At 56.7% G+C, this 12,030-nt stretch overlaps 1 annotated feature.

The window, feature by feature from the left end:
- Positions 10,079-10,862: an enhancer, noted in NCBI's record as "H3K27ac-H3K4me1 hESC enhancer chr7:159391-160174 (GRCh37/hg19 assembly coordinates)". NCBI's record gives its function as "activates a minimal SCP1, AML or CMV promoter by ChIP-STARR-seq in primed H9 embryonic stem cells {active_cell/tissue: H9 hESC(primed)}" and the evidence as "EXISTENCE:reporter gene assay evidence [ECO:0000049][PMID:30033119]".

Below are 12,030 nucleotides of genomic sequence, written 5' to 3'. Positions count from 1 at the left end.
TGGAAACCATGCGGAATACGTCCCCGTGAGTACTTCAAGGGATGCAGATCTGTGTGAAATAAAAAGAATGTGTAGAAGTAACGGTCTATGGGTGTGTGGCTTCCGCAAGTCTCTCTAACAACAAGAGAGCTTTTGCTCACAGAGGAGATGTAGGGCGTCAGGGCCCCGCTGAGTGGGCAGGAGCCACCGGGCTGGGTGTGCAGGATCCAGGCGGACCGTGGTGCAGGGAAGCAGGGCCCAGTCTTGGAAGAAAACAGAGTCCAGGGCTGGAGGGAGCTGAGGTCGGGCGCCCGGGCTGAGGAGGGGCTGGCAGGTTCCACTCCAGCCCCCTGCCCAGATTCATCACCATCCGAGAAACCAAGATCAGTGACGTCAACATTCTCCCAAGATGATGCTGGAGAAACTAATTATGGAGAAAAAAATGTTAAGAGAATGGAAAACCAGGTGTGTGCATGAACGTGTTTTTACCTTTGAATCAATTGTGATCCGAGAGCCTGATGTCTGGAGTGCCGTCTGGGGGACAGGACCCCCGGCCTTCCTTCCACCGTCCTGGCCGTCACTTAACCAGGGTCTTGACGGCAAGAAACAAATCACCCACTGGTTCATTTTACAGCTCATTAGGCAGGCACAGCAGACACCCATTACCGCCTTTGGCATTAAGGAGATTTTGAGATGGAGGCACTGCGAATGACGCTGGGATTAGCAAAGGTCAGAGCGAACATTAATGGAATTCTCATCCGCACAGAGTAAGTGGATCCATTTCCTGGTAATGGTGTGGGAGCTATTAAAGCAAGGTTGGAACCCACACAACGAGGAGATGGCAGATCCGGGCAGGACCGAGGCCTCTGCCTAATGCACTGGTCTCTACCGCCTGGGGAGGCCCTCCGGAGGGGAGGGATGCCTGTGTTCCCCGGGCGCTGGGGCACAGGCGGACCTGATGGTGCTGTTTCCAGCAAAGGCTCCACCTAACGATTTCCCCAGCAGGGTCTTGAGCTGAGGCAGAGAGTAGCTCAGGTCCATTTTTCCTTTGAAATGATCCTTGTGACTTTTAACGTGGAAATGCTTTAGATTCACTGGATTATATATATAGATAGAGAGAGAGAGAAATGACTCACTTTGTCACCCAGGCTGGAGTGCAGTGGTGCGATCACATCTCACTGCGGCCTTGACCTCTCGGGCGCAAGCGATCCTGCCACCGTGTCTCGCTACGTTTTAATTTTTTGTACAGGTGAGGTCTCACTACGCTGCCCAGGCTGGCCATAAAGACCTGGGTTCAACAATCTGCCCACCTTGACCTCCAAAACTGCCGGGATTACAGGCATGAGCCACCACCACACCTGGCCTGGTACATATAAATTTTTTTCATTTTGAAGACCTGCAAATAAAATTGAACAAAACCTCAAAATGCAGCTGCTGTGAGGGTTTTGAGGTGGGGGTTGGCAGAATCCTCCATCAAGCCTCTCACCAGACCTCGGGCAGCAGGGACATCCCTGCAGCTGTGTGGGATCTGAGGGGCCCTGGTGAGACCTTGTACTGTGGGGAGTTCCAGCTGTCCCTTTAGACGGAGACACCCAGCCAACAAGGGGACTCACACACGCGTTTCCTCAAAGTGGACGCCCACTTGGGGAGGGCGGCTTGGCTACCAGCACCTCCTTCCATGGTGAAGAGCACGCGCGGTCAGAGACGGATCCGCCAGGGACACGGACCCTCCAGGAGACGGATCTACTAGGGACACGGATCCACCAGGGACACGGACCCTCCAGGAGACGGATCCACCAGGGACATGGACCCTCCAGGGACATGGACCCTCCAGGAGACGGATCCACCAGGGACACGGACCCTCCAGGGACACGGACCCTCCAGGGACACCCCAACCCCAGCCGGACTGAGGATGCCCATGGGACTCTGGCCAGGGCCTCTGCAGCAGCTGCCCCGAGGTCAGGACTTGGTCCACACTGCCAGTTTCTCTGATTGTTTACCACCACCCTCCCCACATCACTCCCACCTCAGGCCCAGCCAGAGAAGCCACGGGTGCTCCTCTAGCCTGACGTGTAGGACGGCCGGCTGCCGGCAGCCTGGAGCTCCCCCACCCGCTGGACACAGTGACGTTTGGCCCCGAGGCCACCGGAGGCTCCTGTGCAGAGCCTGTGTTTGCTCCCATTGCAGGCCTTTGTGTATCTCTGCCTGCCCCATATGTCTGGTCATAGATGACAGAGGCTCCATACCTCAGCATCCATCAGAGGTGGCACCACCCTCAGACTTAGACAAGGCGCTCAGGGAGGGCAGAGCTGATGTTCCCTTTCTGTGTGTTTGTGTTCTCCTTTCTCAGGGGCTATCCTGGAGTCGCAGTAGAACTGGACACAATACAATCGAGAGGTGGGGTCCTGGTGCTCGCTGTCCTTGTGGGAACACTGTAAAAGCATCTGGCTGCTGATCAGACGAAAGTGCACAGCAGGCAAGGAAGCTCCTAGCACGGTAGAAGCTCATTCTCCACGTTGAGAGACGTGAATAGAGCCTGTTCCTCACACAGGTGCTGACTTGGAGCTTGTGATGTGTGTGGTCAGGACGCAGCACCTCCCGCTGGGCCACCGCAGCCCTCACGAGGTCCCTCTCGGGATGAGCTTCGTGTCTGCCTTGGGGGCCTCGGGGGCTCTGACACGGGGGCAGGAGGGATGGCCTCGCGCTGTCTTGAGTGGAAAATAAGGGAAATGTCCTTGGAAGGGGTGATTAGGGGGCAACTTCTGGGGGAGCTGGGAGAAGAAAAGGGCTCTGAGGCTGGCCTGACGGTCCTGCCTGTGCAAGAAGAGGAAGCAGGAGACGCTCTTGTGATACCAGGAACACCAGCTCCCACTGGGGAGGAGCCCAGCCTGCAGGCAGAGCCTCCAACCGGCACCAAAGGGGACGCCAGCCGGCCAGGTCTCGGGAGGAAGGGAGGGTGGGTGAACACCAGGAACCTCCACCCAGGGGCCTCGGCTAAGCCCTCTTCTCAGCGGACACCCTCACTCCAAGATGTCTCAGCACAGGGGCCTCCCCAGGGCAGCTGCAGCCTCAGGAAGGGGCCGTGAGCCCCACACCCCACTTCCTTCTAAGCCCACGCCTTCCCGCAGACCAGCTCCTGGGTCAGGTCCTGGCCAGTTGGGAAGGGCTGGGCCTTGTGGGTTCACCAGAGACACTGTAGGGTAAGCAGCCAGCTGAAGGGGTTAATTTTATAGGCTCGAGGAACACGGCTCCTTTCAGGTTGCTGGTAGGGCTGGGAACGAGGGGCTGTGTCTACACAGACATCCCCATTGTGGGGCTGATTCAGGGAATTGATTCAGAGGCCACACTCGGACGTGCACCTGCACAGAACTAGGGCACCCCACCTGTGTGGAGCACTCGCCGTCCTGTCGTGAGCCTGGGGGGCAGCGGTGGCCTGGCATGGACCCGGGCACACTGACCCTGCCCCGCACCCCAACGGTGGCCAGGAATTTTCTGGAGCCACAGGGCCCTGCCACATGCACCATGCAGGGAGGTCCACGGATCCCCCAGGGAAGAGCAGGTGTTGTCAACACCAAACCACAGGTGGCAGGGCCCTAAGGGGCTTTCAAACACCCCCCACTAGAAGGTCAGACTCTTGGTCTCCATCCATCCCCAGCACGAGGTCTGTGCAGAGAGTGAGGGCACTGCCTCTTCTAGACCTCCTTGTCTGGCCACGCGTGCCCTTTCCCCAGCTGTTCCTGTTCCTCCAGCTGCTTCTGTGCCTTCCCTCACACTGTTTTCTTGAGAAACACACAAGCATTTGCTCCTTTCCGGTCTCTACTCATTAAAGGCCTTTCATTCCCCAAGCACTCAGAGAGACTTCCTCTGAGCAGCCCCCTCCAGCCCACCCAGTGGCCACTACACCCACTGCCTGCGTCCTGCTGTGTCCCCCAAGGCTGGGGTGAGACTCTCACATGTCTCACATAAGGAAGGAGGGAAAGAGGGAGAGAGGGAGGAAGGGAGGGAAGGAGGGAGGGAGGGAAGGACGGAGGGACAGAGAATAGGAAGGAGGAAGGGAGGAGGGAGGGAGGGAAGGAGGAAGGGAGGGAAGGAGGGAGGGAGGGAAGGAGGGAGGGAGGGAAGGAGGGAGGGAAGGGGGAAGAAGAGAGGGAAGGAAAGAAGGAAGGAGGGAGGGAGGGAGGGGAAGTTCCTCCACAAACCAGCCACCTCCCCCCATCACAGCCCTGATAGGACTGCCCAGCCTTTAGCCCACAGGAGGATTTTAAGCTGCTGCCTGTATGTACTTAGAGAACAGTTTATGGTTGCTAACGTATAATTTTCAAAAGGGTAAAATCGTGATTCTCCAGCAAATGGAAAATGGGCACACGTCGAAGATTTCATTGAATTCATTAACAAATGAGGGGCGATGTTATGGCAGACGCTGTGACTGGCTGCTGAGCACACTTCACAGAAGAGGTGTTTACAGGCAATTTGACAAGAAAGGCTGAGATAAGACCTCTGGGTTATGGACTGGTTAATGTCCAGCCGGCCTGAAATCTGTGGATTATCTGTCTCCCTGGACAGAGATCACTGCATCTGCCTTCGGCTAAAATCCAGATAATGGGACACGTCTCTGAGTCTGGAACCTTTGAACAGCAAACTGGGAGGTGAACTAAGTCCCCCGCAGCCCAGGTCTTGGGAACCAGCCCAGGTCTCGGGAACCTTCCCCCCAGCCCTGCCCACTTTAGGGACTTAGTTCCAGGTTTCAGATAACTTTTTCTGACAATAATTAACTTTTAATGTATACTAAGAGAAATGATCACGAGACATCAAATCTGTGACAGAAAGTCTCCCATGTAAATACATTTATCTAAGTACAACATTGGTTATTTTAAAGGAAGGTATGTTCTTAAGTAAATAATTGTGTAGGCACCTGCCCGTCCCAAGGTGCCACAAGGCTGTGAGTGACATTGTTTTAAGCTGCTGGGCAAACCAAATCTCAGCTCCATAATAAATGACGTCTTTAATTCAGTGATGCTATCTTTTCATTGCAATCAAGTTTCTAAATATTTGGGAGGAAGTCCTGGCTAGTCCTGGCACCCACCTCCACCTGTTCCCTCCCCAGGGCGTGGCTGCCTTCTTCCCAGGTTTGGAGAGGCGGTGTCCTCTCAGGCAGTGGCGCGTTGAGGCTGCTGTCAGCTGATTTTATGCTGAGGAGGCCCGGCCTGGACATGGGAGCCCCCACAGTGGCCAGTCCCTCCGCCTTCTGGGCACATCCTGTGGTGGTGGGGTGGGTGTGGGGTGGAACTTCCTCCCCCGGACAGGCCAGCCACTCAGGATGGGGCCCTGTGCCCTGCTCACATGGGCTGTGCTGGTCTTCAAACCGGCCTGAGGGTCAGCAGAACATTTGCAGGTGGAGATGGAAGGAGAAACAGCATCCGGTCAGCACAAACCGTAAACAGCAGGTGCTCGGGTGTGGAGCTGGAGCCATGTGTCTCTGTGGGGAGGAACAGGGGTTTGAGGGGAACATGGGGACTGGGGCTCAAGGCACCTGGATTTAATCTTAGAGACGAAGGGGTGGGGAGGGAGTGCCCACGTGGGATCTGAGAGGAGACTCGCTGGCAGAGACTGGGCAGATGTGAGCCCTCCCTGCGATGGTCAGCCCTGCTCCTGATGGCCATGGAAGGAACATTTTTCTCCACCCCACTAAGGTGGGCTTTGACCACGTGGACGCTGGTGGATGTCCGCAGGCCCTGCAATGTGTTCCAGGGAATCGGCTTCAGGAAAAACATGCCTGGAGCTCAGCAGAGTGAGGGGCACACAGAGCAGACCTGACTTGAGCCTCAGCCTGGACCCCCACCTGACACTCAGAGCCCTGGGGAGAGAGGCCGTGGAACCGCCCGGCAGCATCACTGCCTCAGCACCTGCCAAGATGGAAATGGGCACGTTCAGGTCAGATAGGAGGCTGGGGCACACTCCTCCCTCGCCCCCGACCACCCACCCTCCAAGCCTTAGTTTAGATGTTCCCTCCTCAGATCAGCATTCTCTGCCCTGAGCCACGGTGGCGCCTCACTCCGGGGCCTGCGTGCCTCCTGCCTGTCTGAGTCCAACCTCAGCTTCCCAGCCAGCAGCTCAGGAACCCACAAGGTCGTGCAGCTGCCGAGCCGAAAAACGAATGAGCAGCTCTCGCGTGCAGGTCGGCTGGGTGGGTGTACGGCTTCATGGCGAGGCATCTGGAGTGAGGGAGGCTTGCTTCTCCTGCGGGGCCCTTGCTTTGTGTGTCTGGACAGGCGCCGTCCTCGTGGCTGCCTGGGACTGGGGCCTCTCTCCATCATCACAGTCCAGGAAGAGGGGTGGCCAGTCCTAGAGCTTGAGCTGAGCTGCCCTTGGTGGCTGTGGAGATGAGGAACTGATGTTGATGGTGCAGTCGGGAAGGGAGATGTGACGGATGAAAAGGAGACCCCGATTTAGCAGGAAGTGTGGAATTCTGTGATCCTGTGCTGCTGGTCCCTGCAGAGGTTTTGGCAGTCCCCAGACACTGCTGTCTTGAGAGGAAGAGGAGTCCAGGCAGCCACAGCAGAACGCTGACCCCTCACTGGTCTGCTGACTCCTCACTGGTCTGCTGACCACACAGCACGGCCTTGGTCTCCAGGCTGGCCCCCTGGAGTCCTCAACCAGCCCCAGAGGGAAAGGAGGTTTGCCAGAGGGACCTTGCAGCCACACGTGTGGCCCCAGGATGGCAAGGACAAGGCCCCTGGCGAGGTGGTGCTCATTCCATAAGGAGTGGTTAGAGTCACTCAGCAAATCCATCCCACGCCTGCCACGGGCTTCCCCCTCCCCTGGGCACCACCGGCCACCCTAAGCTCAGAGACGTGGTGGAACCCCTCCCGTGTGGCGTGGTGCCGAGACTGAGGGATGTGCAAGCTGTGAGGAGCATGTGGCCACAGCCAGGTCTGAAAGACAGCACTCCGAACCAAGCAGATCGTGTGAAACTGCAGGCCGATGTGATACGGAGACCAGGGTGCAACTTGCTCTGTTTTCAAGAGGAGAGACTTTGGAGAACTGTTATAAAAAATGGTTGCTGTGTCTGCAGGCTCACACGGGAACTCTGCTGTAAATATTTCTGTGCCAAGGCAGCACAGTGTTGCATGGGGGCCTGAGGGCCTGTGGGTTTGATTCATCCTTTCTAGGATGTCTGCAACATTTCTTGGATGTGAAAGTTTGTTCTGAGCACGACAGTTGGAAAATCACCGTCCGTGTCCTCTGAGCTAGGACTCACCTGCTGCAGGGAAGGAGCTTTGCTTAGCAGACCACGTCACACTCCCAGGATGATGAAGAGGGGATCTCCTGCAGGGTCCTGGGGACAAACCCTGCTGGCATCTGGCCATGGGGGAAAGAGCATCCGGAGTGAAGGGGACGACAATAGTCACCACAGTGGCTGGAGATGAGCCCACACGGTCGTCTTCCCCAGCGGAGACGTTCCCTCCCGTAGGAGGGTGGGTCAGAGGATACAGAAGGCGCCGGCAGTGACCAGGAGCAATGTGCAGCCTCCTCTCCCCCAGCTCCTGGAAGCAGATTCCGTCCGGGCACAGGAAGCTTTCCCGGTAATTGGCTAACGCGCCACATGACTGCTGTCTGCCAGGCTCTAGGAGGTGAGAATTCCTCCTCAAATTAACCTCATACCCAGAAACCCATCATCGCCACTTACCAGGATGGGAAAGCACAGTGTCCTCTAAAGAAACTTACATTCAAGCTGATGATCATACTCAGACAGCTAATTAAGAGCTAATTATTCAAATGACGGATCAAAGAACCGTGCATGCACCCAGCTTTCCCCGGAGACTCGGGTCCCCTGGCACTTGCATCCTGAGTCGGGGAAGAATCCTCAGCCACATAAGTGAGGACACATGTTTGCCAAGAAACCTCAAGTCTACATTCATAGCGGTGTCTACTCAGAGGACACAGGAAAACACACACACACACACACACACACACACACACACACACACACCCGGGAGTCCTTGCAAATGGTCCCAGGCTTCATGAGAAGTCCGTGCTGGTGACAGTTGGAACGTGTTACTCTGGGGATAGCCTAATCACTACGAAATTAATTTTCTGAGCTCCTGAGAAACTTGCCTTCCTAAAAACCAAGATGGATGCAAATGAACAAGGACTGAGCAGCCCGAAGCGGGTCCATGGGGGTGGCAGCGGCACCCCTAACTCTGGCCGGGTGAGGGGCCCCGTCCAGGCAGCCTCAGTCCAGGCTCTAAGCAAACGCCGTGGCCCACAGGTGCTGCTTCTGGGATGGCGTCGGGACACTCCTGCGGGGGTAGCAGAGAGCTCGGCCCACCGACTAGCCGCTCTGCCCGCTGACCTGAGTGCTTCTCCGACCTCCGCAGTGGACGTTCACCTCTAAACCTTCCTTCATGTAAATGTTTGGTTCCCATAGCTGAGGCAAATGCCCTTGAAAATGCTTCCATCAGGAAACATTCAGACACCTAAATATATACTTTGTATCAAGTTTAATGAACACTTTGCTACTTTTGATGACTATGATTTCTTTATCTACCTGGTAAACAGAGACCAGGAGCCTTTTAGTTTTATTTCACGGAAAACACGTTGCTCAGTGGCGGCTCTCCAGCGGCTTCCCGTGCGGTCGTCCCATGGGCTGTAGGGAGGGGCCACGCACCACCCTCCTGGGAGGTCTCTGCCTCTCCTCTCAGGTGTCCGCCCCCCGCCCCGGCTGGGACGGAAGCCCCTGAGGAGCTGGTGGAATCTGGTGTGAATGGGAGCGCTTTTGCTCCAGCACTTCCTGTCCAGGCCTCTGGGTCCTGGAAGGAGCCAGGGCCGTGTAGTTCTATGAATGTGGCACCAGGACCTGTCCCCCCAGGCCTGGAGGGCCTAGAGGGAGGGAACCTGAAAAGCCCTTGTTCTCAGAAACGCAGGCTGTGTTTCCCATGTGCACAGATTCCTCAAACTCACCTTGTGGAGAGGACACAGCTGCGTTGCTCTGAAGCCCAGGGGATGTGTGCCCCTCACGGGTGTGACCTGGGGCACCGTCCTCAGAGCGCTCGGTCCCTCAGAGGTGTGATCGGCCCAGGTGAGCACACCGCCTGCTTTGCAGCCACCTCTGGAAGGCTATGAACTCAAGTTTGATGAACAGAGAGACAGCTGTTTGTCCAGGACCATCAGCCCTGAGGGCAGATGAGACCAGGCTGATGGCGGCCACCCTGCTGCTCCGTGCAGAGGAGCGGCCTGCGAGTGAAGCCACACAGAGGGGAGACTTCTGAGCGACAGGCAGGGTGGGGGCCCAGTGAACTGTGGATCTCTAGATCCACTGTCAGCTGCAATCCTGTCTTTATTATGTTTTAAATGTCATTTTGTCTGATTTAGTCTGGCCTTGGTTTTTATTACCTGGAACTCAAAGAATCTTTAGTTCTGTGCCATGTAAAGGAGATATTATTCCAGTTTACACCAGAGAAGTTCCAGGCGTAGACGGGCAAAGTGCCCAAGCGCACCCAGCCAGGAACAGGTGCGGCCTCGTGAGCTCCAGTGACCCTAATCCCTTATGAAACGTGGGGCTCAGGCTCGACACGGCATGGGACTCGCTATGCCAGTTTGCCAAATGCAGACTGCAGGGCACCCACCAGCAACGATACTGTTCAGTAGGTTAGGGCAGGTTCCGGAAGTCTCCATTTTTATCGAACGTTCCTGGTGATTCTGAGGCAGCCCCCATCTTGCTGAAGACAAGCCCACTGTGCAAGCCTGGCTGCATTTGGCCCCTGGTTTAACATCCGCACGCAGGATTCTTGCCGGCCGGGCGCGGGGGCTCACGCCTGTAATCCCAGCACTTTGGGAGGCCGAGGAGGGTGGATCACGAGGTCAGGAGATTGAGACCATCCTGGCTAACACAGTGAAACCCTGTCTGTACTAAAAATACAAAAAATTAGCCAGGCGTGGTGGCGGGCGCCTGTAGTCCCTGCTACTCGGGAGGCTGAGGCAGGAGAATGGCGTGAACCTGGGAGGCGGAGCTTGCAGTGAGCCGAGATCACACCACTCTGCACTCCAGCCTGGGCGACAGAGTGAGACTCCATCTCAAAAAAAAAATATTCTTGCCAAGGATCAAAGCCTCAAACGTTCCCATGGACTCTCCACTGACCACGGAGGAGCTGGGGAGACGCTGGAGGACACGCTGTCTCTCCCTGGGTCCCGCCACCGGCTCCAGGCAGGTGTGCACAGGGCAGTGTGTCAGCCTCGGTGTCTGAGCCCCGCCGGGGCCCGTGAGGGTCCGTGTGAGAATCGGTGTCTGAGCCCCGCCGGGCCCCGTGAGGGTCTGTGTTAGAATCGGTGTCTGAGCCCCGCCGGGCCCCGTGAGGGTCCGTGTTGGAATCGGTGTCTGAGCCCCGCGGGGCCCGTGAGGGTCCGTGTTGGAATCGGTGTCTGAGCCCCGCGGGGGCCCGTGAGGGTCTGTGTTAGAATCGGTGTCTGAGCCCCGCCGGGCCCCGTGAGGGTCCGTGTTCGTTAGAAGGGCTGTGTGTGCAGTGGACAGGTGGCACCCATGCCTTCCTCAAGGTCCTCTTCCTTGGTGGCAGGGGGCTCAGGCCCGAGTGTCCCCTGCGCTCTGTCATGTTCACTCTGGGACATCACAGACCTCGGTCGCCTTTTTGCACTGGTCGATAGAAGCTACCAGCAAATGTGTGGCCCACTCTGGTGCCTGAATGGGAACTAACAGACTTCATTCTGTAGCTGCTTCCTCGGGCCGCGTGGCTGTTCCACCTCCATCTCCCTCACTCTGATTCCCGCAGGTTTGTGCGGCTTTGCTTTGTATCATGTGCCTTTGTCTCAGGGATGGACCCCATTTGGAACGAGGCGGGGCATCCCACAGACCAGCTCAGTTCCTACCCCAGAAAGAAGGGCTGCTGCTGAGAACTGAAAGGTCTGCTGGAAAGGAACAGCTCTGATGATAAAAACTTTGCCCCCGAAACTCATATTTCATAGGCTCTTTCTGAAGAAAAGTGAAACAAATAGTGTAGGTTTAATTGGATCCACGCCTGCTGGATCCAATACACACAGCAGCTGTATTTGTGCTACCAAAAGGGGGCTGGGGAGGGAAGGTGGTCTAGTGGGAGAAGGGAAGCAGTTATGACCAGGAGTGTCAATGAATCTGCCATGTCACAGAATTTTCTAAGAGACGTGGACCAATTTGGTGGCTGGGCTCAGAAGTGGCAAAAGGCGACAGCTGTCAACCGCCTCCCCGCAGCACTGCACCTCCCTGCTGCAGCCACAGCTGCCCTGTCCAGAAATCCTGGGGCCTCTGCACCGCCAGGCCCTTCTCCACCCGCTCCAACTTTGCTCGGCGCATGTGGGTGAGTGCGTTAGGGTGGAGGACATGCACGCCGGAATACTGACCCAGAGCTTCTGGAAGCCTCCCTGTACGCATTGTGATGAGAAGGCTGGAGTTCCAGCAGCCACGCTGGCAGGGAGCATGGAAGCCATGAGCAGGGATGTGAGGCCCAGGAGCAGAGAGCTCCTGGCTCTGGAGCCCCTGGGAGCTTCACGCTGGCTGTAAGTGCCAGCTGCCATGCTTCCTGTGCATGGAAGAAAATGCGCTCCATCTTGTTTCACCCACCGTGATTTGGGGTTCTGTCTAGGTGGCTGAACGTAATCACAGGGAATGCCAAACACCACTGCCCAGTGTGCAATGATTACACAGCAGCTCCCACAGTACAGCCCATGTCAGCACCCTCTGTGATGTACCAGGGTTCACCGTGGCTGCCTGGTCCCCAGGCCGCTGTTTCAGAAGAGTGGCTGACTACGTCAACCCTGCACGTCCAAGAGGCGGCTCTCATGGCCCAGGAAATCCACAACAGGTGTCTTTGGTCTCTCAATATTCCCTGGCTTGTCCAGCTCTCACTCACTATTGCCCCCACCCTGTGAACTGAAGTGGAGTATTATTCCCATCGTATCAGTTGCAGAAAAGTCAATGGCGTAGCATGGCGCAACATCTGTCCCCTCCCCTGTTGGTGTCTGGGAAGCCGCAGTCTGTGCTCACCAGGTAAGAGCTCCTGGCCC

This window comes from Homo sapiens, chromosome 7, assembly GCF_000001405.40.
Source record: "Homo sapiens chromosome 7, GRCh38.p14 Primary Assembly".
In the NCBI taxonomy this organism is placed as follows: Eukaryota; Metazoa; Chordata; class Mammalia; order Primates; family Hominidae; genus Homo; species Homo sapiens.
The sequence above is the reverse complement of the archived record's forward strand: the minus strand, read 5'-3'. Positions and strand labels throughout refer to the sequence as shown.